The 27,525-nt window shown below is 39.3% G+C and overlaps 1 long non-coding RNA gene across 4 annotated transcripts in view, besides 2 other annotated features; it reads left to right on the forward strand.

Moving 5' to 3' along the window:
* Nucleotides 1-27,525, forward strand: part of LOC105375138 (uncharacterized) — a 121,035-nt gene that overhangs the window by 33,146 nt on the left and 60,364 nt on the right. The window lies entirely within an intron of this gene.
* Nucleotides 18,429-18,929: an enhancer, noted in NCBI's record as "H3K4me1 hESC enhancer chr7:7081446-7081946 (GRCh37/hg19 assembly coordinates)". NCBI's record gives its function as "activates a minimal SCP1, AML or CMV promoter by ChIP-STARR-seq in primed H9 embryonic stem cells {active_cell/tissue: H9 hESC(primed)}" and the evidence as "EXISTENCE:reporter gene assay evidence [ECO:0000049][PMID:30033119]".
* Nucleotides 18,930-19,430: an enhancer, noted in NCBI's record as "H3K4me1 hESC enhancer chr7:7081947-7082447 (GRCh37/hg19 assembly coordinates)". NCBI's record gives its function as "activates a minimal SCP1, AML or CMV promoter by ChIP-STARR-seq in naive H9 embryonic stem cells {active_cell/tissue: H9 hESC(naive)}" and the evidence as "EXISTENCE:reporter gene assay evidence [ECO:0000049][PMID:30033119]".

The raw sequence follows: 27,525 nt of genomic DNA on the forward strand, positions 1-27,525 counted from the left end.
TCTCATCATTCAGCTCCCACTTATAAGTGAGAACATGCGGCCTTTGGTTTTCTGTTCGTGTGTTAGTTTGCTGCGGATAATGGCTCCCAGATCCATCCATGTCCCTGCAAAGGACATGATCTCATTCCTTTTTACGACTCCATAGTATTCCATGGTGTATATGTACAACATTTTCTTTATCCAGTCTGTCACTGATGGACATTTAGATTGATTCCATGTCTGCTATTGTGAATGCTGCAATAAACATACACGTGCATGTATCTTTATAATAGAATGATTTATATTCCTTTGGTTATATACCCAGTAATGGGACTGCTGGGTCAAATGGTATCTCTGCCTCTAGTTCTTCGAGGAATCACCACACTGTTTTCCACAGTGGTTGAACTAATTTACGCTCCAACAGGGTAAAAGTGTTCCTTTTTCTCTGCAACTTTGCCAGGATCTTTTGTTTTTTGACTTTTTAATAAAAGCCATTCTGACTGCAGTGAGATGGTATCTCACTGTGGTTTCGATGTGCATTTCTTTAATGATCAGTGATGTTGAGCTTTTTTTCATACGTTCGTTGGCTGCATGCATGTCTTCTTTTGAGAAGTGTCTGTTCATGTCCTTTGTGTGCTTTTTAATGGAGTTGTTTGTTTTTCTCTCGTAAATTTAAGTTCCTTGTAGATTCTGATATCAGATCTTTGTCAGACAGATAGATTGAAAAAATTTTCTCCCATTCTGTAGGTTGTCTGTTCACTCTTGTGATAGTTTCTTTTGCTGTGCAGAAGCTCTTTAGTTTAATTAGATCCCATTTGTCAATTTTTGCTTTTGTTGCAATTACTTTTGGTGTTTTCATCATAAAATCTTTGCCCATGCCTGTGTCCTGAATGGTATTCCCTAGATTTTCTCCTAGAGTTTTTAGTTTTTGGTTATACATTTAGGTCTTTAATTCATTTTGAGTTGATTTTTGTATATGGTGTAAGGAAGGGGTCCAGCTTCAATCTTCTGCATATGACTAGCCACCTATGCAAGCACCATTTATTGAATGAATAGGGAGTCTTTTCTCCATTGCTTGTTTTTGTCAGAAAAGCAAAACATCTTAACCTTAAAACTCAATCAGTTTTCATGTGTCTTCCTCAGACCAAAATTTAAGAAGATGTCCTACTCCTGCTAGGTGCATGTAAAACTATTACTATTTTTGGTCTATAGTAGCAATTATGGGTCTCAAATCAATCCTTTCAGAAAGTCCATGATGTCAAAGATATTTTCATAATATGAGACATGACCTGAATTTTTCACTTTCATACACCCAAATGTACGGAGTACAAAAAGTTCATTGATACCATTTCTGTTTCCACATTATAGCAAACCTTTAGTAAACTAGTACTTAAACAATTTGATGTCATATCAAAAAATACTCACAATTGTCTAAAAAGACCATTAAAATACTACTCCTTTTTTCAGCTATACATCTGCATGAGGCCAAATTATCTTCATGTGTTTATCTAACACAGTATATCACAGCAGATTGGAAGTAAACAGATGTGAGAATCCAGCTATCTTCTAGGACAAACATAAAAGAGATTACAAAATTTGTAGACAATATCACTCATAACTAATTTTTATGTTTGGGAAACATAATTATTTCTTGTAAAAATTATTATTTATGTTAAAATGTAAAGGGTTTATTATTGTTCTATTTTTACTTTTGTCCAGCTTTATTGAAGTATAATTAACAAATAAAAATTGTATATATTTATGGTGCACTATGTGATGTTTTGATATATATTCACATAGTGAAATAATCCCTACAGACAAGCTAGTTAGCATATGCATCCTCTCACATAGTCAGCATTTTGTGTATGTGTGTGTGTGGTAAGAATATTTAAAATCTACTCTCTTAGCGAATTTTAAGTATACAATATAGTATTATTAACTATAGTCACCATGCTGTCCATTAGATCTCCAGAACTTTCATTCTGCGTAACTAAACTTTGAACATGCTGACCAACATCCCTCCCTCTGCCTCATCCCCTAGCCTCCAGTACCACAATGCTACTCTCTGCTTCTATGAGGTTGACTTTTACATATTTCACATGTAAGTGAGATCATGTTACTGTTTATGTTTCTGTGCCTGGCTTATTTCACTTAGCATGATGTTCTCTACATTCATCTATGTTGTTGTAAATGATAGGATCTCCTTCCTTTTTATGGATGAATAATATTCCATTTTATATGCCCATTGACACTTAGATTGATTCTATATCTTGACTAATGTGAATAATGCTGCAGTAAACATGGGAGTGCAGATGTCTCTTTGACATACTGATTTTCTTTCAATATATGCCCAGAAGTTGGATTGCTTCATCATATAGTAGTTTCATTTTTAATTTTTTTGAGGAACCTCCACAGTGTTTTCCATTATGGCTATGCCATATCATGTACCCACCAACAGTGTGCAAGGGTTTTCTTTTTTCTCTTTGTCCCCATCAGCATTTGTTATCCTTCTTTTTTTGATACTAATTATTCTAACAGATATGAGGTGATATCTCACTGTGGTGTTAATTTGCATTTTCCTGATGATTAGTGATTTTTAGCACCTTTATATACCCCTGCTGACTATTGGCATGTCTTCTTTTTAGAAATGTCTATCAAGCCTTTTGCCCTTTTGAAAATTGTTTTTTTTTCCTTGTTATTAGTTGGTTGAGTTTCTATATATTTTGGATATCAACACCTCATCAAATGTAAGGTTTGCAAATAATTTCTCCTAATCTAATCTGTAGGTTGTCTTTTCATTCTGCTCACTGTTTTCTTTGCTGTGCAGAAACGTTTCAGTTTGATGCAGTCCCATTTGTCTATCTTTCCTGTTGTTGCTCATGCTTTTGGGGTCATATCCAAAAAAATGATTTCCCAGGCCAACGTCAGAACACTTTTTTCCCTATATTTTGTCTAGTAGTTTTACAGGTTCAGACATACATTCAAATATCTAATCCATTTTTAGTTTATTTTTGTATATGGTATGTGATAAGGGTCCAATTTCATTTTTTGAATTTGGATCCTGTTTTCTCATGTAGTGTGATGCCTTCAGCTTTGTTCTATTTCTTTCATCTTTCAAAAGTTTTTTTAATTTTAATTTTTATTTCAATAGTTTTGGAGGAACAGATGGTGTTTGGCTGCACAAAAAAGTTCTTTACTGGTGATTTCAGAGATTTTGGTCCACCCGTCACCTGAGCAGTGTACACTGTACCCAATGTATAGTCTTTTATCCCTCACCCCCTTCCCATCCTTCCCCCTAAGTCCCCAAAGTCCATTATATCATTTTTGTGTCTATGCATCCTCATAGCTTAGCTCTCACTTATAAATGAGAAGATGGACAGTGTTTGATTTTACATTCCTGAGTTACTTCACTTAGAATAATGGTCTCCAACTCCATCCAAGTTGCTGCAAATGCCATTATTTCATTCCTTTTTATGGCTGAGTAGTATGCTGTGGAGTATGTATACTATATTTTCTTTATTCACTTGTTGGTTGATGGGCATTTGGCTGGTTCCCTATTTTTGCAATTATGAATTATGCTGCTATAAATGTGTATGCAAGTGTCTTTTTCATATAATGACTTCTTTTCTTCTGGGAGACATCCAGTAGTGGGATTCCTGGATCAAACTAGCTCTACTTTTAGTTATTTAAGGAATCTCCACACTGTTTTCCACAGTGGTTATAATACTTTGCTTTCTAACCAGCAGTATAAAAGTGTTCCTTTTTCACCACATCCACACCAACATCTGTTATTTTTTAATTTTTTGATTTTGGCCATTCTTGCAGGAGTAAGGCGGTATCTCATTGTGATTTTGATTTGCATTTCCCTGATAATTAGTGATGTTGAGCATTTTTTCATATGTTTTTTGGCCATTTCTATATCTTCTTCTGAGAATTGTCTATTTATGTCCTTTGCCCACTTTTTTATGGGATTATTTGCTTTTTTCTTGCTGATTTGTTTGAGTTCCTTACAGATTCTGAATACTAGTCCTTTCTCAAATGCATAGTTTGTGAATATTTTTTCCCACTCTATGGGTTGTCTGTTTACTCTGCCAATTATTTCTTTGGCTGTGCAGAAACCTTTTAGTTTAATTAAGTCCCATCTATTTGTTTTTGTTTCTGTTGCATTTGCTTTTGGGTTCTTGGTCATGAACTCTTTGCCTAAGCCAATGTCTAGAAGAGTTTTTCTGTAGTTACTTTTCAGGATTTTTATGGTTTCAAGTCTTAGATTTAAGTCTTTATCCATCTTGAGTTGATTTTTGTATAAGATGAGAGATAAGGATTTAGCTTCATTCTTTTAGATGTGGCTTGCCAATTATCCCAGCACCATTGGTTGAATATGGTATCCTTTTCCCACTTTATGTTTTTGTTTGCCTTGTTGAGGATCAGTTGGCTTTATTTCTGGGTTCTCTATTCTGTCCTATTGGTCTATGTGCCTATTTTTATGCCAGTACCATGCTGTTTTGGAAATTGTAGCCTTGAAGTATAGTTTGAAGTTGGATAATGTAATGCCTCCAGATTTGTTCTTTTTGTTTGGTCTTGCTTTGGCTACGCAGGCTCTTTTTTGGTTCCAAATGAATTTAGAATTATTTTTTCTAGTTCTGTGAAGAATGATGAAGGTATTTTGATGGGAGTTGCATTGAATTTGTAGATTGCTTTTGGCAGTATGGTCATTTTCTTTTCTTTTTTTTTTTTTTTTTTGAGATGGAGTCTCGCTCTTTCACCCAGGCTGGAGTCCAGTGGCATGATCTCGGTTCACTGCAAGCTGCGCCTCCCGGGTTCACGCCATTCTCCTGCCTCAGCCTCCCAAGTAGCTGGGACTACAGGCGCCCGCCACCATGCCCGGCTACTTTTTTGTATTTTTAGTAGAGACGGGGTTTCACTGTGTTAGCCAGGATGGTCTCCATCTCCTTACCTTGTGATCCGCCTGCCTCGGCCTCCCAAAGTGCTGGGATTACAGGCTTGAGCCACCGCACCAGCAGTATGGTCATTTTCACAATATTGACTCTACTTATCCATAAGCATGGGAGGTGTTTCCATTTGTTTGTGTCATCCATGATTTCTTTCAGCAATATTTTGTAGTTTTCCTTGTAGAGATCTTTCATGTCCTTGGTTAGGTATATGCCTAAGTACTTTTTTTTTTTTCAGCTGTTGTAAAAGGGGTTGAGTTCTTGATTCAATTCTCAGCTTTGTCACTGTTGGTATGTAGCATGCTACTGATTTGTGAACATTTATTTTATTTCCTGAAACTTTACTGAATTCATTTATCAGATCTAGGAGCTTTTTGGATGAGTCTTTAGGGTTTTCTAGATATACAATCATATAATCAATGAAAAGTGACAGTTTGACATTCTCTTTACCAATTTGGATGCCTTTTATTTCTTTCTCTTGTCTGATTTTTCTGGCTAGGACTTCCAGTAGTATGTTGAATAGAAGTGGTGAAAATGGACATCCTTGTCTTGTTCCAGATCTCAGGGAAAATGCTTTCAACTTTTCCCCATTCAGAATTACATTGGCTATGGGTTTGTCATAAATGGCTTTTATTACATTAAGGTATGTCCCTTCTATGCCGATTTTCCTGAGGGTTTTAATCATAGAGGGATGATGGATTTTGTCAAATGCTTTTTCTGCATCTATTGAAATGATTCTGTGATTTTCGTTTTTAATTCTGTTTATGTGGTGTATCACATTTATTGACTTGTGTATGTTAAACCATCCCTGCATCCCTGGTATGAAATCCATTTGATAATGGTGTGTTATTTTTTTTTGATATGCTGTTGGATTCGGTTAGCTAGTATTTTGTTGAGGATTTTTGCATCTATGTTCATCAGGGTTATTGATCTATTGTTTTCTTGTAGTGTCAACAAGATTGGTACAAATTCTTCTTTGAATGTCTGATAGAATTCAGCTGTGAATCCATTGGGTCCTAGACCTTTTTTTGTTGACAATTTTAAAATTACCATTTCAATCTTGCTGCTTGTTATTGGTGTGTTCAGACTTTCTATTTCTTCCTAGTTTAATCTAGGAGGGTTGTATATTTTTAGGAATTTATCCATTTCCTCTAGGTTTTCTAGTTTATGCATGTAAAGGTGTTCATAGTAGCCTTGAATGATAATCTTTTGTATTTCTATGGTATTAGTTGTAATATCTCCTGTTTTGTTTCTAATTGAACTTATTTAGATCTTCTCTCTTCTTTTCTTGGTTAACCTTGCTGATGGTCTATCAGTTTTATTTATCTTTTCAAAGAACCAGCTTTTTGTTTCATTTATCTTTTATATTTTTTGTTTCAATTTCATTTAGTTCTGCTGTGATCTTTGTTATTTCTTTTCTTCTGCTTGGTTTGTGCTTGATTTGTTCTTGTTTCTCTAGTTCCTTGAGGTGTGACCTTAGATTGTCTATTTGTGCTCTTTCGGGTTGTTTTATGTAGGCATTTTATGCTATGAAATTTCTCCTTAGTACAACATTTGCTGTATCCCAGAGGTTTTGTTAGGTTGTGTCACTATTATTGTTGAGTTTAAAGACTTTTTAAATTTCCATCTTGATTTCATTGTTGACCCATCTTGATTTCATTGTTGACCCATCTTGATTTCATTGTTGACCCAGTGATCATTCAGGAGCATAAAATACATGGATTTTTTTTTTTTATTATGAGGGTTCATCTTGGAGTTAATTTCCGATTCTATCCCACTATGGTTTGAGAGGGTACTTGATATACTTTCAATTATCTTAGATTTATTCAGACTTGTTCTGTGGCCTATAATGTGGTCTGTCTCTGCGAATGTTTCATGTTCTGGTGAAAAGAATGTATGTTCTGCATCTGTTGCATAGAATGTTCTGTAAATATTTATTAAGTCCATTTTGTTGTAGGATATAGTTTAAGTTCATTGTTTCTTTGTTGGCTTTCTGTCTTGGTGACCTGTCTAGTGCTGTCAGTGGAGTACTGAAGTCCCCCACTATTATTGTGCTGCCATCTGTCTCATTTCATGTCTAGTTATAATTGTTTTATAAATTTGGGAGCACTCATGTTAGGTGTGTATAAATTTAGGATTATGATATTTTTCTGTTGGACTGATCCTTTTATCATTATATAATGTCCCTCTTTGTCTTTTTTTAACTGTTGTTGCTTTAAAGTCTGTTTTGTGAGATATAAGAATAGCTACCCCTGCTCACTTTTGGTTTCCATTTTCATGGAATATCTTTTCCCACTCATTTACCTTAAGTTTATGTGAGTCCTTGTGCATTGGGTAAGTCTCGTGAAGACAGCAGATACTTGATTGGTAGATTTTTCTCCATTCTGCCATTCTGTATCTTTTAAGTGGAGCATTTAAGCCATTTACATTCATTGTTAGTATTGCGATGTGAAGTACTGTGGTATTCATTTTTGCTACTTGTTGCCTAAATCCCTTTTTATAATTGTATTTTGTTTTCTAGGCCCTGTGAGATTTATGCTTTAAATAGGTTCTATTTTGGTATATTTTGAGGATTTGTTTCAACATTTAGAACTCCTTTTAGCATTTCTTGTAGCACTGGATTGGTAGTGGTGAATTCTTTCAGTATTTGTGTGTCTGAAAATGACTTTATCTCTCTTTCATTTATGAAGCTTAGTTTTGCTACAGCCAAAATTCTTGGCTGATAATTATTTTGTTTGAGGAGGCTAAAGATATGACCCCAATCCCTTTTGGCTTGCAGGATTTCTGCTGAGAAATCTGTTATTCATCTGATAGGTTTTCTTTTATAGGTTACTTAATGATTTTTGTCTCACAGCTCTTAACAATCTTTCCTTTATTTTGACTTTAGATAACCTGATTACTATGTGCCTGGGATTACTATCTTTCTGCGATGAATTTCACAGGTGTTCTTTGAGCTTCTTGTATTTGGATGTCTAGATCTTTTGCAAGGCCAGGGACATTTTTCTCAATTATTCCCTCAAATATGTTTTCCAAACTTTTAGATTTCTCTTCTACCTCAGGAATACCAATTATTCTTAGATTTGGCCATTTAACATAATTCCAAGTTTCTTGGAGGCCTTCTTCATTTTTACCAAATTCCTTCTTCTTTGTTTTTGTCTGATTGAATTAATTTGAAAAGCCTTGTATTTGAGCTCTGAAGTTCTTTCTTCTACTTGTTTGATTCTATTGTTGAAACTTTCCACTGCATTTTGTATTTCTCTAAGTCTGTCTTTCATTACTAGAAGTTGTTATTTAAAAAATATATATATACACATATATATACTTATACACATATATACATACATATATATATAGACACATACATATATATATATATAATACGTGGAGCATTTTTCATCCATATCCTGTTTTTTTTAATTTAAGTTAGTCTCCACCTTTCTCTGTTATCTCCTTGAGTAGCTTAATAATCAACCTTCTGAATTCTTTGGCAATTTAGAGCTTTCTTCTTGGTTTGGATCCATTGCTAAGGAACTAGTGTGGTCTTTTAGGGATGTTACAGAACCTTGTTTTGTCATATTGCCAGACTAACTTTTCTGATTCCTTCTCATTTGGGTAGACTATTTCTGCACAAAAGTCTGGAACTCAAGGGCTACTGTTCAGATTCTTTTGTCTCATGAAGTGGTCCCTTGGTGTGGTGTGTTCCCCCTTTCCCTAGGGATGGGGCTTCCTGTTAGCCAGACTGCAGTGATTCTTATTGCTCTTCTTGGTCTAGCCACCCATTTGGGCTACTGAGCTCTGGGCTGGTGCTAGATAATGTCTCCAAACAATCCTGTGATGTGATCCATCTTCAGGTCTCCCATTCATGGATACCAGCACCTGCTCTGGTGGAGGTGGCAGGGGAGTGAAGCAGACTCTGTGACAGTCCTCGGTTGTAGATATTTTTAGTGTGCTGGCTTCTTAAATACTTGTTACGCTAGCAGTGAAGTTGTTACATGGACACACTCAGGACACACTCTGGTTAGCCAGGATGTTGCGGGCAGTGGAATTAGCTGTTGCCTTGTTCTTCCTGGGATCAGGCTTATTTTGTCATGAGTTGCTATAAGGATCTGAGTTGGTTGGCCTCCAGCCAGGAGGTGGTGCTTTCAAGAGGGCACCAGCTATGATAGTAGAAGGTGGATATAAGCTTGCCCTAAGTTGACCAGGGTAACTATTTGGGTTTCTCAGGCAATGGGAAGGGTCATAAAGCTCCCAAGAGTTTATATTTTGTGATACGCTACCAGGACAGGTAGAGAAATACCATCAGGTGGGAGCAGGGTTAGGTGGGTCTGAGCTCAGACACTTGAGTGGGGCTTGTTGTGACCACTGTGGGGGATAGGGGGTAGTTCTTGGGCCAATAGGCTTATGTTCCAGAGGAAATTATGGCTGCATCCGTGGCTAGGGAAGTGGTGGAAAGGCATTAGTGATAGGCCTTACCCAGTTCCCACGTGTTGGTGAGACTGGTATCTTTTCCACTGTACCCTGCTAACAGCGCTAAGTTTGTCTCCAGGCAGCCTGTCCACAGGACTCAGACCTTACCCCAGACTATAAGTTTCCCCACTGAGAAAGCAAGCAAGGCTTTCAGGCCATGCCCCTTCCTGTCTGTCCACACTGTCTGCCTCAACTCCTGCTCTACTCTTTGAGGCAATTCCTGTTCACCCCCAGATTCTGCTCAAGAAAGTTTGCACCCAGTCAAAATTATTACATAGTTCAGTTGGAAGCTCCTTTCATGCTGTGACCCCTCCCGAATTTTGCCAGCTGCCTTCACCAAGGTTCCCTGTGAGATATAGTCAGGGATGGCTTCTCTGGGCTCAAGCTGGAGAACGAGAGTGCCTACAAGGCTCTTCCCCTGCTGCTTCTATTTTTATATTTTATGCTAAATCCGTTTAATCTCTAGGTAAGGTTAAGTCCTTTCCTCATGATTTGAATTTTCAGGCTCTCCAGTGGCAACATGTATTCAGAGGCAGGTTTTCCCCGCTCACGCTTTGGGAATGCACGGTTTTTTGCCTGTCTCATGGAATATACAGCATACTGCCACTTCTTTCAAAGGATCTGTGAATTCTTTCAGTTTTTCTGTTATGGTGCTGCTATTGTTCCTGAACCAAAAGTCCATGGTGTGAGTCTTTATACACTGTTGTGTCTGTCCAAGTGGGTGCTGCACATCAGCCCTGTCCCATATCCATCTTCCATTTATCTCCTGGCTTTGTTCTTTTTATTCAAGATGACTTTGGCTACTCGGGGCCTTTTGTGCTTCCATACTAATTTTAAGATTTTTTTTTTCTATTTCTGTGAATAATATCATCAGAATTTTGGCAGACATTGAATTGAATCTGTACACTGCTTTGGGTAGCATAGACATTTTGATAATATTAATTCTTACAACCTATGAACACAGGATATCTTTCCATTTATTTGTATCTTCTTCAATTTTTTTCATCAGTGTTTTATAGTTTTCAATGTACAGATCTTTTGCCTCCTTGGTTAAATTTATTCTTATGTATGTTTTGGCAGCTATTGTCATTGAAATTGCTTTCTTGATTTCTATTTTGGATAGTTCATTGTTAGTATGCAGAAATGCTACTGACTTTTGTATGTTGATTTTGTCTCCTGCAGTTTTATTGAATTTATTGGTTCTAACAGTTTTTTGATGGTGTCTTTAGGATTCTTCTGTGTATAAAATCATGTCATCTGCAAACAAAGAAAATTTTACTTCTTTCTTTTTGATTTGGATGATTTTATTTCTTTCTCTTGTCTAATTGTTGTGGCTAGGACTTCCAGTACTACATATATTGTTTGTTTGTTTGTTCGTTTGGAGATGGAGGCTTGCTATGTTGCACAGGCTGGACTCAAACTCCTGGGCTCAAGTGATTCTTCCATCTCAGCCTCCCAAGTAGCTGGAACTATAGGGGTACACAAGCATGCCCAGCTTAGTACTATATTGAATGGAAGAGGGGAGATTGGGCAATCTTGTCTTGTTCCTAATCTTAAAGGAAAAGCTTTCAATTTGTCACTGTTGAGTAAGATGTTATCTGTGAACTTGTCATGTATGACCTTTGTTATGTTTAGGTAGTTTCTCTCTCTTCCTACTTTATTGGGTGTTTTTATCACAAAAGAGTGTTGAATTTTATCACATGCTTTTTTTTAATCTATTGAGATGATCACATGGTTTTTGTCCTTTATTCTGTGAATGTGGTATATTACATTTATTAATTTATTTATATTTAAAAGTCTGCACCCTAGGGACAAATTCCACTTAATCATGGTGAATGAGCCTTTTAATGTCCTGATGAATTTGGTTTGCTAGTATTTTCCTGAGAATTCCTGCATCTATGTTCATCAAGGATATTGGCTTGTATTTTATTTTCTTGTTGTTTTCTGACCTGACTTTAGTATTAACATACTGGCTTCATAACATGAGTTTGAAAGTGTTCCCTCCGCTTCAATGTTTTGGAAAAATTTGAGAAGGATTGACATTAGTTCCTTAAGTATTTGGTAGAATTCACCAGTGAAGCCATCAGGTCCTAGGCTTTTCTTTTTATTGCTGATTCAATCTTTTTCCTCCTTATTGGTCTGTTCAAATTTTCTATTTTTTCATGACTCAGTCTTGGTGGCTGTTTATTTATTTATTCTAGGTTCTTTGATTTGTTGGTATATAATTGTTCATGGCAGTCTCTTATGACACTATATTTTTGTGGCACCTGATGTAATTTGTCTTTCATTTCTGATTTTATTTATTTCATTCTTTTCCCTTTTTTTCTTACTCTAGTTAAAATATTGTTGATTTTGTTTATCTTTTCAGAAAACTCACTCTTATTTGCATTGATCTTTTCTATTGCTTTTCTGGTCTCTATTTCATTTATTTCTACCCTCATCTCTGTTACTTCCTTCCTTCTACTAACTTTGGCCTTAGTTTGCTTTTCTTTTTTCTAATTCCTTGAGGTGTAACAGAAAGCTGTTTATCTGAAATCTTTTTTTCTTTTTTGATATAGGTGTTTATTGGTATAAACTCCTGTCTTGGAACTGCTTTTGCTTCTTTCTATAAGTTTTGGTATGCTGTTGTCCATTTTCATTTTTCTCAAGATTTTTTTTAAATTTCTCTTTCAATTTCTTCTTTGATGCATTCATTGTTAAGTAGCATGTTGTTTAATTTTCATATACTTGTGGAACTCAGAATCTTTGGACAGGCTGACTGGTGAAGGGCTTTCCCTGCCAAAGCCAGTTTATAAAGACTGAAAGAGGTGCCTACTTCTTCAATTGTGCAAATACCAATGCAAGGCCACAGGATTATAGATAATTGGGGAAAGATAACACTACCAAGGGAACAACAACAACAAGAAATGGAGATCTATAAACTGTCTAAAGAAGAATGCAAAATAATCATTTTTAAGAAGCTCTAGGGAGTTCCACAGACTTGGTCAAGCTGGTCTGGTGTTTGGTCAGTGGGTAGATGATCCTAGTACCCTGATCCATCAAGTTAATTTTGGGATCTAGGTCTGTAAGTGCAAGGCTGGATCTTGAGTTTACAAGGGTTTTCTGGTGCTGGGGTCCACTTATGTGGGTCTGGAAACTAGAGCCACAGGGGTATTTCAGAAGCCTGGGTCCATGGGGGCTAACCTGATGTTGGGGGGAACTCCTGATCTTGAATACAAAGGCTTATATAGCCCTGGGGCAGTCCTAGTGTCTGGAGTCTGGCGGGGATGTCCTGAACCTGGGTTTATGAGTGTGGGCCTGGGTTTATGAGTGTGTGTATGCAGGGGCCAGCCCTGGTGCTGGGGTCTACTGGGGCAGGCCTGGAAACCAGATTTGTAGGGTTGGGCCTGGATCCTGCATCTGGGGTTCAGGTCTGGAGCCTGAGTCCAATGGAGCATATATCATTAATTTAAAAAGAATAGATAAATAAATATTTTTAAAATTTTTCTTTTCTAATTTCTTATACTGTAAATATTGATCAGTACCATTCAGGTAAACAAAAGCTCTTTGGGGGTCCTAAATAATTTTCTCAGGCTCTAAAGAAGTCCTAAGATTTTAAAAAGTTTAAGAATCATTGGTTTATAAAAATTTTTTTGTTAAATGGAGCTATAATGCTCAGAATAGGCAAATCAATAGAGACAGAAATGAGATTAGTGATTGCCTAGGGTTGGTGGCGGTAGTGGGCTGGGGTGGGATTAGAAATTAGTTACTTAACAGGTACAGAATTTCTTTTTGAGGTGATGAAAATATTCTAAGATTGTCTGTGGTGATGGTTGCACAATTCTATGAATCAAGTAAAAAGCACTGAATTGACTTTAATAGGTGGATTTTATGGTATATGAATTATATCTCAATAATATTGTTACCCAAAAAATTGAGTTATAATACTGGAGATTGTGGGAAATTTCAGCTCCTCAGCTTTTGTAACCATGACATCCTCCCACATATCTAAAAATATGTGGCATTTTTAGCTTAAAGAACAAAGATAATATGCCTTGTGGTATCTCCGCCAAACTGAGTGAAGATCTCAAGGTACCTCTAAGATTCTCAAGGAGACTCAAACAAATAACATTATGACCTGGGTATGTACTGGTAAAACCACTGAGCCAATACCCCAGTGGAAGGATCCTTCTTCTCTGCTTCTAATCACATATGTCTCTGGTAAGTGTCACTGAAAGTGGTAGTCAATCATTACACCCCCTAGAAAGACCCATAAATATATGGGTATAGATATTTGGGTTAAAATCTACAAGGGAGTGGAAGCTGATGAAGAAGAAAAACAGTTTCCATAATAAACAGAACTTGTTGTCATATATCCTAACAGGTAAATCTCAAGGTTTCCTTATTCTACTGCCTTTCAGAATAAACACTGAGACTCCTGCATTGTGTGTTAGTGTTTTACTTTCCTAGGCAAATATTGTGAATTCTCCTTAAATCTTAAATATTTTATTGGATAATTAATATAACTTCTTTCAACTGCAGGTAGTCGCCTTTAAACAATCTTCTTCCAATTTGCCAACTTAAGACCACAAGGTATGACCTTCACCAGTCTGACCCATTCCCACATATCACAAAATCCCAGTGTGTCACAAGACCCAAGATTTCCATTTATAGTACATGTTGTGATAGACCATAAATGCCTATATAAGTTTAAAAAGAAAGAAAAGGAAACAAGAATGTAAGTAATGGGAAGAATATGGGAAAATGGAGGCTAATGTGGTCTCTATTCGTTGAGTGAGTTGAAGTAGCATGTCAGAGGTTGCTCATCACATCATAATCATCATAAATTTGTATAGATTTACACAAATTTGTATTGATTTATGATGTAAAACTATAACAATTTTCTAGCATGTGGCAGTACAGTGTCTTGAGGAAGGGGTGCTTTTTTTCTAGTTCACAAAAAGTTGCCAACATTAGTCAGCAGTGATGGAAATAGCCCTTCTTATTGGCTGACTATGGAGTACTTTCCAAGAGGAAATTAGGTTACAGAATATATATAATGAAAACCCATCATTTTGAGGTGCTAAGGAACTAGGAGTGATATTTTCTTTAGCCTCTTGCTGGTTTGTGGCCATTATCCTCCTTCCATCTTGCAATATGGTTTTCATGTACAAAAATGTTTTATTTAAAATTCTGAGGCTAGGGTCTTTTTTCACAATACCACACACAACAAGCAAAAGATTGGTTGATCCAGAATTGGGGTTGATTAGAGCAATGCTAGAAGTAAAAAAGAACAAGGAAGAAAAAAAGGTATGGGATGAATATCACTGATGTCACAGAATGTAAGTTTAGACTGGAAAGGTTAAGGAAAAATAAATCATTAATAGAATGGAAGCATATAGAGGAATGGAAGAAAATGTGGTCTCAGTGAGTTGAGGTAGATAAAGCAATGGAAGGAGCAGAAGAATTGAGAACTTCCCTGCCCTAATAACTGAAACAAAAATGCCCATGAGAAGAGAAAGATGTGTGCTTGATCTCCAGCCATAAGTTTAGCCTATAGAAGCTGAAGACAGAATTATCTGTGCACAATTCTGACCAACATGAACAGGCCCAGCATTAGATTTCAAAATCTAGGCTTGCAAAATCACAGAAAGCCTCATGTGTCTCAAGAGTATCTGGGTACCAATGGCCCACCCCTGCCCCTACTTGCTAGGGAACTAGAATCAAGAATTATTAGCAACCAAAGCTGCCTTTAAGTATATGTAGAATGTCGAATAATGGCCCACCCAAAGATGTTCATCTAAATTCCCAGAATTTGTGAATATGTTATGTTATACAGCAAGGAAAAATAAGATTGAGGATAAAATGAAGGTTGCTAATCAACTGACTTTAAGATTAGAAGAGTGTCCTGGATTATTCAAGTGTGCCCAATGTAATGACAAGGGTCTTTTAAGTGAGTAAGAGGGAGGTAGAGGCCAGGTGAGAAGAGAGATTTGAAGATGACACTCTGCTGGCTTTCAAGATGAAAGTGGGCCATGAGCTGAGTAATGTGGGTAACTTCTAGAAGCTTCAAAAGATGGGGGTATAGATTCTCTCCTAAAGCTTCTGAAAAGAAAAGCAGCCTTGCCAACATCTTGGTTTTGGAATTTCAGCAGATGCAGAAATAACAATAAATGCTAGCATTTAATAAATCTACTTTAATTCATCATTTCAAGTACGTGCACTTCTCCATTTGCTAAGTGCCCAGTGGCCAACACTATCTGAAAGATGCCCAATCTGGAAATGCAGACACCAGGTGAAAAGGTTGCTATTAACCCAGATATCTTTCAAGTAAGAACTTTACCACTACCTGGTCCTCATGGAAGAAGCAGAAAGACATTCTTTCTGTAGAGAACATCTAGAGGGAATTCTAGGTATTAGGAAGGCTGAGAGCTTTATCAAAACAAGTAAAGGAACAGGAAGCAGCAAAATGGAGATGCTTCCCCAGCAGACCCTACTGTGTTGGTTGATTTTTGCTGTGGAATAAAGAGTTGCAAAATTTTATGCAACAACACATTTGTTCTACTCATGAGTTTTTGGGTCAATGGAGGTGGCTCTGCCTTGGATTGCAGGTCTCAGTCAGCTGTATAAGGCTTTTTTTTTTTTTTTTCGGGGTCTCACTCTGTCACCCAAACTGAAATGCAGTGATGCAATCACAGCTTATTGTAGTCTCAACATGCAGGCTCAAGCAACCCTCCGACCTCAGCCACCCTGAGTAGTTGGGACTACAGGCATGCACCACTATGCAAGTAACCCTCCTACCTCAGCCATCCCGAGTAGCTGGGACTACAGGCATGCACCACCGTGCCTGGCTAATTTTTGTAGTTTTTGTAGAGACAGGGTTTTGCCTTGTTGCCCAGGCTGGTCTTGAACTCCTGGGCTCAAGCAATTCGCCTGCCTCAGCCTCCTATAGTGTTGGGATTACAGGTGTGAGACTCCATGGCCAGCCCTCTGTGTAACTTTTATCCTCTTTGATCACTAGGCTTACCATGGCATGTCCCTCAAAATGATAACAGATACGCAAGATGATTAACCCCACTGTGCAAGGATATTTCAAGTGGATGAAAGTGCTAATATCCTATTGCTCAAAGCAAGTCACATGGCCAAGCCCAATGTTAAGGGATGGGGAATTTCACTCTTTCCACAAGAAAATGTGTGGATAAAGAGAGGAGTGAAGAATTGAAGCTAATAATTCAATCTACCAAAAATATTATCTGTCTTAGTCTATTTTGTGCTGCTGTAACAGAACACTTGAGACTGGGTAATTTATAAAGAATGGAAATTTATTTTCTCACATTTTTGGAGGCTAGGAAGTTTAAGATCAAGGTACCAGTAGATTATAGCCTGGTTTATCTGCTTCCAAGATGGCACCTTGAATACTGTATCCTCCAGAGGAAAGGGACACCATGTCTTCACATGAGAAGAGCAGAAGAGAGGGAAAGAGAGAGAGTGAGACAGAGAGACAGAGAGCCCACTCCCATAAGCCCTTTTTTATGGTGACATTAGTCCATTCATAAGGGTAGAACCCTTTTGATCAAACACTTCCCATTAGCCTCCACTTCCCAATACTGTTGTATTGGGGATTAAGTTTCTTACACATGCATTTTGGTGGGACACATTCAAACCATAGCACTGTCCATTGGATATCTGAACCGAATCTGCAGGGAACTTTGGTGACACAGATATTCCCAATTAGTCTCTCTAGCTGGATATTGACTTTGACATCTACCTACAGGGAAAGGACAAGCCTAGGTGGCCAAAGGGTCTACTTTAGCCTTGCAATCTAAAATGTCTTTGGAAAAACCTGACTATGGCTTCTATTTTATTTTATTTTATTTTTTTAGAGATAGGATCTTACTCTGTTGCCCAGGCTGGAGTGCAGTAGTGGGATTATGGCTCACTGCAGCCTCAAACCCTGGACTCAAGCAACCCTCCACACTCAGCTTCCTAAGTAACTAGGACTGCAGAGATACACCACCACACCCAGTTAATTTTTTAATTTTTGTAGTGGCAGGGTCCCATGTTGCAAAGGCTGGTCTTGACCTCTGTTCTCAAGGAATTGTCCTGCCCTCAATTCCCAAAGTGCTAGGATTATAGCCCTGAACCACTGTGCCCAGTTGGCCTTTATTTTAGATACATTTCCTGCCACCTTCAACCTATATTGTGTCCCGAAAGTTCTTCCTAAAAGCAAGGCCATCTATTACAATCTTATTTATCAAAGAACATTTTTGTATTTATGTACTGTCCAGCTGTCTGCACCCCAATCTTCAATTCACATGCTTTTTCCACGTAGGAGGACATTATTCCAAGTAGCCCTGCTTTGCAATGCCCGAAATACTCAGACAGAAGGGACTCTTTTTGTATACCTGCTAAGACATCATAGCTTTTGCACCTACCCAAGCCAAATGGCATTTTCCTGTGGCAATCACTGCCTTTGTTGCAGGTTGCATTCTCCCAGAAGCAGACTTTGAGAAAGCAATTAACATAAAGGAGTTTTATTTGGGAGTACTCTTTAGGTCAACAGCTATGGAAGGGAAAGGGCCAGGATAGAGCAGGGAGAGGTTGGATTATAACGTGTCAATGAACATGTCATCCAACCCCATTGGAGCTCTGAAGCTGAAAGAGCCCTTAAAGTTGTCCCAAGTTGGGATTATATAGCTAGGCCTTTATGACTCTGCATCAATCAGTCGTTGGTTAAGGAGTGTAACGTTAGACAAGAAAAGTCCTCAGCTGAAAGCAGTGAATGGAGGGCTCTCAACCAGCAGTACTCGGATATGGCTGGTGCACCACACCAGCCTATCCTATGCAAAATGGCATAGTTCCCTCCAATAAGTTCCTGTTATAACAGTTCCCTGATCCCCACTCTTCCTGGAGCCACTGACAGCTAACAGCAATAAAATATCAAGAGAAGCAAAACAACACATGGTAGGTTCAGAGGGAAAGCTGAGGGCAGCATCTCTGTAATTTTTGAGATTCGTGGATAGCCTCTCTAATTACGAATATCTCAAAATTGTGCAAAACAGAGAATACATTTGCTGGCAAGATGGCCGAATAGGAAGAGCTCTGGTCTGCAGCTCCCAGTGAGATCGACACAGAAGGCAGGTGATTTCTGCATTTCCAATTGAGGTACCCGGTTCATCTCATTGGGATTGGTTGGACAGTGGGTGCAGCCCATGTGGAGGGCAAGCAGAAGCAAGGTGGTGCGTCACCTCACCTGGGAAGCACAAGGGGTCGGGGGATTTCCCTCCCATAGCCAAGGGAAGCCATGAGGGACTGGGCTGGGAGGAACGGTGAACTCCAGCCCAGATACTGCACTTTTCCCATGGTTTTCACAACCCACAGACCAGGAGACTCCCTCCGGTTCCTAGGCCACCAGGGCCCTGGGTTTCAAGCATAAAACTGGGCAGCCATTTGGGCAGACACTGAGCTAGCTCCAGGATTTTTTTTGTTCATATCCCAGCGGCACCTGGAACCCTAGTGAGATAGAACTGTTCACTCCCCTGGAAAGGGGGCTGAAGCCAGGGAGCCGAGTGGTCTTGCCCAGTGGATCCCACCCCCACAGAGCCAGCAAGCTAAGATCCACTGGCTTGAAATTCTTGCTGCCGGCACAGCAGTCTGAGGTTGCCCTGGGATGGTAGAGCTTGGTGGTGGGAGGGGCGTCTGCCATTGCTGAGGCTTGAGTAGGCAGTTTTACCCTCACATTGTAAACAAAGCCGTCAGGAAGTTTGAACTGGGTGGAACCCACCGCAGCTCAGCAAGGCTGCTGCAGCCAGACTGCCTCTCTAGATTCCTCCTCTCTGGGCAGGGCATCTCTGAAAAAAAGACAGCAGCCCCAGTCAGGGACCTATAGATAAAACCCCATCTCCCTAGGACAGAACACCTGCGGGAAGGGGCGGCTGTGGGTGCAGCTTCATCAGACTTAAATGTCCCTGCCTGATAGCTCTGAAGAGAGCAGCAGATCTCCCAGCACAGTGTTCAAGCTCTGATAAGGGTCAGACTGCCTCCTCAAGTGTGTCCCTGACCCCCATGTATCCTGACTGGGAGACACCTCCCAGTAAAGGCTGACAGACATCTCATACAGGAGAGCTCTGGGTGGCATCTGGCAGGTGCCCCTCTGGGACAAAGCTTCCAGAGGAAGGAACAGACAGCAATCTTTGCTGTTCTGCAGCCTCTGCTGGTGATACGCAGGCAAATGGTCTGGAGTAGACCTCCAGCAAACTCTAGCAAACCTGCAGCAGAGGGGCCTGACTGTTAGAAGGAAAACTAATAAGCAGAAAGGAATAGCATCAACATCAACAAAAAGAACGTCCACTCAGAGACCTCATCCCAAGGTCACCAACATTAAAGACCAAAGGTAGACAAATCCACAAAAATGGGGAGAAACCAGCACAAAAAGGCTGAAAATTCCAAAAACCAGAGTGCCTCTTCTCCTCCAAAGGATCACAACTCCTTGCCAGCAAGGGAACAAAACTGGACAGAGAATGAGTTTGACAGATTGACAGAAGTAGGCTTCAGAAGGTGGGTAATAACAAACAACAAACTCCTTCAAGCTAAAGAGGCATGTTCTAACCCAATGCAAAGAAGCTAAGAACATTGACAAAAGGTTACATGAATTGCTAACTAGAATAACCAGTTTAAAGAAGAATATAAACGACCTGATGGAGCTGAAAAACACAGCACAAGAACTTCATGAAGCATACACAAGTATCAATAGCTGAATCAATCAAGCAGAAGAAAGTATATCAGAGATTGAAGATGAACTTAATGAAAAAAAGCGAGAAGACAAGATTAGAGAAAAAAGAATGAAAAGGAACGAACAAACCGTCCAAGAAATATGAGACTATGTGAAAAGACCAAATATACTTTTGTTTGGTGTACCTGAAAGTGATGGGGAGAATGGAACCAAGTTGGAAAACACTCTTCAGGATATTATCCAGGAGAACTTCGCCAGCCTAGCAAGACACACCAACATTAAAATTCAGGAAATACAGAGAACGCCACCAAGTTACTCCTCGAGAAGAACAACCCCAAGACACATAATTGTGAGATTCCCCAAGGTTGAAATGTAGGAAAAAATGCTAAGGGCAGCCAGAGAGAAAGGTCGGGTTACCCACAAAGGGAAGCCCATCAGACAAACAGTGGATCTCTCTGCAGAAACCCTACAAGCCAGAAGAGAGTGGGGGCCAATATTCAACATTCTTAAAGAAAAGAATTTTCAACCCAGAATTTCATATCCAGCCAAACTAAGCTTCATAAGCAAAGGAGAAATAAAATGCTTTACAGACAGACAAACGCTGAGAGATTTTATCACCACCAGGCCTGCCTTACAAGAGCTCCTGAAGGAAGCACTAAACATGGAAAGGAACAACCGGTAGTAGCCACTGCAAAAACATACCAAATTGCAAAGACTATCGACGCTATGAAGAAACTGCATTAACTAACGGGCACTAAATTAATTTGATGTTTCTTACCTTCTTGGTATACTACTAAAGGGAACTAAAGGCCTAGGGAGATTGATAAGCTGAAGTGAGTAAGTACCTGTTCAGATACTGGCTAAGTTCCTCAGAATGGTTCAGAGGATACATCTTTCATTTCAGCTTTCCAAAATACATTGGGAAAGAAAGATCTTTGTGGTAGCTGTTCTCTAAAGGTTCTAAATGAGAGGGGGAAATGCTACCTTCTAACTGGGGTCTGTGACTTCAGTGGAAGTGATGAGATCCCAGGGAGAATGCGCCAATTGCTGGCATTTGATCACAAAAGATGAGGAAGGTAGCTGGGACCACAGGTGTGTACCACCATACCTGGCTAATTTTTGTTGTTTGTTTTGTAGAGACAGGGCCTCACTTTGTTGCCCAGGCCGATCTTGAATCCCTGGCTTCAAGCAGTCCTCCCACCTGGGCCTCCCAAAGTACTGGGATTACAGGCATGAGCCACTGCACACAGCCAGATAGAGATCTTTAACATTCCACTTAATAGTTGATCATGGTATCCCTAGAACTGAAACAGGTAATTATCATATGCCTTAGTCATTCAGGCTGCTATAGCAAAATACTATATACTGGGTAGCTTACAAACAACAGAAATTTATTTTTCACATTTGTTAAGCCTTGGAAGTGCAAGATCAAGGTACCAGCAGATCTGGTGTCTGGTGAGGTCCACTTCCTCATAGACAGCACATTCTGGCCATGTCCTCACGTGGTGGAAGAGGCAAGAATCTCTCTGAAGTCTCTTTTATAAGGCCACTATTCCCATTCATGAGGGCTTGGCCCTCATGACCTAATCACTTCCCAAAGACCTCATCTCCTAAAGCCATCACCTTGGGGGTTAGGGTTTCAACAAATGAATTTGGCGGAATGTAAACATTCAGTCCATTGCACTCCATTAATGTCCTACTTGATTCACAAACAGTCTGGTGAACCGACGCCATACCTGCATTAGCACAATAAGGAATTGTGGAACCTCAACCAATTTTCAGACTTAAGATGCAAAGATTTTGAAAGAAAGGAAGACAGCGTCTCTTTGAGGATTGCTTCTATGAGACCAAATATGTACACTCTAGCCCTAGCCCTAGTTGGCGGTGTCTCAACCCAGGGCAATTTGCCCCCAAGAAGATATTTGCCAATGTCTGCAGACATTTTTGGTTGTCACGACTAGGAGCATGCTACTGACATCTAATAGATAGAATCCAGGGATACTAAATATCCTACAAAGCACAGGACAACCCCACTACAACAAAGAATTATCTTGCCTGAAATGCTGAAAGTGCTAAGGTTAAGAAATCCTGCTTTTCTCAAAAGACCTGTGACCACCGAGTTACAACAACAGAAAGTGAACCAACATCATCATACTTTGCAGTAATTCAGGAGGACCTAGACTAAAGTCACACTGGGCAATAAAAAAGTCATAACACAGATTGAAGAGTGATATGAGCTTAATGTTAATACACAGGGACAATATTCAGTCTCCCCTAGAGTTCTGCAATGTTAATTATCCAAAACATTACATAATTGCAAGAGAGATAAAGTAATCTGGATTAAAAATAGGAAGAATATAATTAACCGTATTAACAAACTGAAATAAAATGTTGTTTTAAAAAAAGTTAATCTTCTTTCATTTACCAAATCCAATCCATCCACAACTGCCATGTAAAAATCAATAACAAATCCATTCCCTTCTCCTCTCTCCTTCTTCTCTTCTACTACCTTCCCTAGTAAAGCCACCACCATCTCTCTCCTGGACAGCCTGTTTACTGTAGCTTTCTACTTCCTCCCTTGTTCCTGCATAATCTTTTTTGATATGCTGTTGCCAAGTACTCTTCTTAAAATGTCAACTACTCACAACACTCCTGAGCATCACAGAGAGTCCCAGTGAGGAGGGAAGCTACGGTGTGTGAGATGAAATTGGAATCTTTTTCCTGCCTCAAAGGAAAGCCCGGAAGTATGAGTTAAAAAAAAAACAAACAAAACACTGGCCAGGCATAGTGGCTCACGCCTGTAATCCCAGCACTTTGGGAGGCCGAGGTGGGTTGATCACCTGAGGTCAGGAGTTTGAGACCAGCCTGGCCAACATGATGAAATTCTGTCTCTACTAAAAATACAAAAATTAGCCCATTGTGGTGGTGCATGCCTGTAATCCCAGCTACGTGGGAGGCTGAGGCAAGAGAATCACTTGGACCCAGGTGGCAGAAGTTGCAGTGAGTCTAGATCATGCCACTGCACTCCAGCTTGGGCAACAGAGTGAGACACTGTCTTGAAAAAAAAAAAAAAAGAAAGAAAACATTGATGCAGTTTTGCTCTGCCTAATACAGCCTGTATGGAAGGTCTCCGTGGTCTCCTTGCTTTCATTCCTGGCCCTGCCTGCCTTCCACACCCACTCACAAATTATCCTCTGTAGCAGAGGGATCTATGCAAACCATAAATCAGGTCACTCAATATAAAACCATACCTGCAAGTACCTTCCCAAGCCAGTGCTTGATCTAAGTTGTTTCAAGTAGGGCCTAGGAATCTTATATTGTCTAATATGTCCAGGAGATTCTAACTTAGCCAAGACTGAACACCCCTGGCCTAGAGCTGTACTTCTCAAAATTTAACTTAACGGGTCTCTGAACTACACTTTCTCCTGGACAGCCTCTTTAGTAGGCTTTCTACTTCCTCTCTTGTTCCTGCATGATCTATTTTTGATATGCTGTTGCCGTTTGATATGCATGTTGTCCAGGAGACCCATTAAGGCTGAGTGGATCCCGATATGCTGCATTTCTAACAAGCTCCCAGGTGGTGCTGGTGCTGCCTCCCGAGGACTATACTCTGAGCAGCCAGAGCCTAGAAGGGAAAAACATTGCTCCCCTCTACCTAAACCACCCTTGTTCATCATTACTAGCAACTATATTTTCCACCCTTTACCCAACCTTCTGGACCTGGTAATCTGCAGCCAGCCCGCTCAAGATTGCCTGACAGGACCTTCAGGGCAGACTTTTATAGATGAAAGAATGACATAATGATGGTGCGCACTAGGAACAGATCAGAATATGTGAGAAACACTATTTTTTTCCCAGTGTACAGCAGGCTTTCTTCTGGTAAAATTAAGCAAAACTCAGCCCTGCCCTGCCCAGTTAGAGACTAGTTCATCAAGGGGGCAGGTTGAAATTTAGCCACAGTACCCTCCTATGCCTGATATGCAACTAAAAAGCAGTGACTGTCAACCTTTTAACTATCATGACCTCCCTAAGGAGCCTTTTTAGACTTTTTTTTTTCCTGATCACACCCTCCGTATAAAATGTCAATACCACAGATATACGATATATATGGTTATGAACTCTTGACCTTTGTAGGACTACAAACCATTAAATGAGACCTAAGAATTTTTGGCCGCTCCCTGTGGGCAATACAACCCTCATTGAGAATGCATGATTGAGATCCATTCGCTCATTCCAGTCAGCTAGATTCCAGGCCTGGTGTGTAGACCACATGTTTGGACACATTTCTCCAGCTTTCCCTACCAGGCCAAGTGGTGGAGAGGACACTATCTTTAGAATCACACAAATCAAGTTAAAACCAAGCCTCAGCCATTTACAAGTTGTAGGACTCTAAGCAAGAATCTTTACCTCTCTTATCCTAAGTGCCCCAACTGTTAAATGGAATTAAAATACTCACACTGAAAATTTGCTGTAAGGTGTAGAGGTGAGGTAATGTTCCTGTAAAGTATAAACTGTAGTGTCCAGGGCAGGACAGGTATTCAAGAAATAGTAGTAACTGGCCATAATTTAGTGGTGGCCCTCCACAGCTTTCTATTTCCTTTGAGATTAGATTCATTACACCTGGGCTCAGTAGCGCCTTGATGGCCCAGTACACCAGCCCAGTACAACTGCAGAGTTAGATGTCTCTCTCGTCATGCCCCAGTGCAGAAAAAAGAAAGACACACCTTCCCTAAGTATCTACCTGAGAACCAGGGCATCTTGAAGCAGTTCCGGGAGTTTGATTAAAGTGGAGTGGGGAGCTGAGAAGGATTTGTCAGCACAAGCAAAGGTACAATCTGCATCCAAGGCCACTGCTATCAGTTTGTAGCCCTGACCCAGTCTCTTCGACTCAACACTACCCTTGACGCCCATCTTCTGGATAAGAATAAGCCTAGTCAGCCTACGTCTACCACACTACACTTTATCTCAAATGCTCCTGGACAATCTGACTACAGTTCCATTTCAAGAATCATCTTTAACCTCATTTGCCACATTGGTCCTAATTTGTCTTTTGAAATACACTTCCTGCCAAACAGTACTAGCTATCTGTTAGAGAGCAAAGAGATTTTCCATTTTCTCAAACTACCCGCCACCTAGTTTATAACCTCAACCTCAGTGTTTATCCCAATTTTGCAGAGTACCATTGATATGCTTAGGCCACTCAAATCTCATCTTGAATTTTAATCCCCAAAATCCCCACATGTCAAGGGAGAGACCAGGTGGAGGTAATTGAATCACGGGGGGCAGCTTCCCCAATGCTGTTCTCCTGATACTATGTGAGTTCTCATGAAATCCAATGGGGCTCTTCCCCCTTTGCTCAACCCTTCTTCCTGCCACCTTATGAAGAAGGTGTCTTGCTTTCCCTTCACTTTCTGCTGTGATTGTGTTTCCTGAGGCTTCCCCAGCAATGCTGAACTGTGAGTCAATTATACCTCTTTCCTTTATAAACTATCCAGTCTTGGGTAGTTCTTTATAGCAATATGAAAATGGACTAATACAACTATTCAAAGCTGTCATTGAATATCTTCTCCTGTCAAGCTCCCAACCACAACAGAAAGAGTGAATCAGCTCTTGCCCTTTTTTTTAATATTCGAAAATATTTCCAAAAAATAGCCTCGTCTCTCAAAATGAAAATCTTGCCTTATACCAACTCCCTGGTCTCCACTCCTCTTGGAACCCCTTGTCATAAGCCAGTGCTTAGCCCAGTTCCCCACAAATAGAAAGCCCTAAATAAACACCTGTTGCCTGTTCCTCTATTGTCAGCACCAGAAATACCCATCTCCTAGGGAGTATCTGGCTCTGTCACCTGCAGGCTGTGTGACCTTCCTACAGGTGGCCTTGCCTCCCTGAGCCTCAACTCCTTTACCTGTCAAATGGAAGTAAAAGAACCACCTCCCAGGGCCATTTCAAGTGTTGGGACAATTAAAGAATTAGACACCTAGCAGAGAGACTGAATCCTACCCAAGACCTCTCTAGTGAGAAATTAACCCATCCTCTTTTGATGGCCTGGTAATGCTGCCTGAAACTGATGGCTTCACTGGGAGGGGAAATCATTTTCAGTCTCTTTTTTTAAATTTCAGGATGTAGCTGAGGACCAAGTTATATTGTACTACTGTACAGATTTATTACTAAGGAATTATTACTACTTTTTCCTGACTTTAACCTCTTCCCATATTAGATCCTATCATCAAAGCCAAATACTTCTTAAGATTCTACCACATAAAAAATAGAAATGATCTTGAAAACATTTAGTATTTCAACAAATAACAAAAAACCTTAGTATTTTATAGATAAATACATTTTAGCCATAACTATTATTAAGGCTTTGTCTCTTACAAAGGAGAAAGGTAAAGGCTTATAATTTCCCTATTAAGTCAGCACATAAAATGCAATTTTAACTTAAAATTCTGTTAAAAGTATATTTATTGTCATAGTTTCCAGCCCTGATTGGTCCTAAGAATCACCTGTAGAGCATCTTAAACATAAAGAGCTGTTTGGGGCCATTACAAATGTAGTACTAAGAACATCTTATATAGTACCTATCTTTTGGGGCACATATGTATGCATCTCTGTGAAGTGTATATCTGAGAATAGAATTGCTAAATCAGGATATGCATGTGATGAGCTTTCATAGATATCACCAAAGAGTTTTCCAAAATGGTTGTACAAATTAACACTCACACCAATGCAATATGAGAATCCCCATTGTTCCATATTCAATACCATTGCTTGGTATTTTATATCTTTTTAATTTTAACCACTCCAGTGGATATTTTAATTTTTATTTCCTGAGCCATAAATGAAGTTGAGCATATATTTATTGAGTATTTGCATATTTTCTCTGAGGTGTGCCAAGTATTTTTAAAATTGAGCTGTGTTTTACTGGTTAATACATAGGATTCCTGTCTATATATTCATTCCCTCTCACTGGGGTACAGGTCTTTTATTTTTTATATGTGTATTGAGAATATTTTTCTTCACATATCCCTCTCTTTAATGGTGACTTTTGTTAAATTTTGTTGTTCCTTAACTTTAATATGCTCCAATTTATCAATTGTTAACTACCTAGGTGCCCATCAACAGTGAAATGGATAAATAAATTGTGGTTTATTCAATCAATGAAATACTATAAAGCAATGAAAATGAACAAATCACAACTACCTGCAACAAATATAAGTGAATCTCATATAACATTGAGGGAAGGAAGCTAGCACAGGAGTAGATATTATTTTAATTTTTTTTTTTTTTAGTTTCAAAAACAAACAAAACTAACCCATGATGTTAGAAGTTAGGATGTTGACAACTTTCACTGGGCTGCAGTAGCTAGAAAGGGGCCCTAGTGGCTCTCTTGAGCTGCTGGTGAGAATCTGTTTCTGAATC

Source organism: Homo sapiens, chromosome 7 (genome assembly GCF_000001405.40).
Source record: "Homo sapiens chromosome 7, GRCh38.p14 Primary Assembly".
Lineage (NCBI taxonomy): Eukaryota > Metazoa > Chordata > Mammalia > Primates > Hominidae > Homo > Homo sapiens.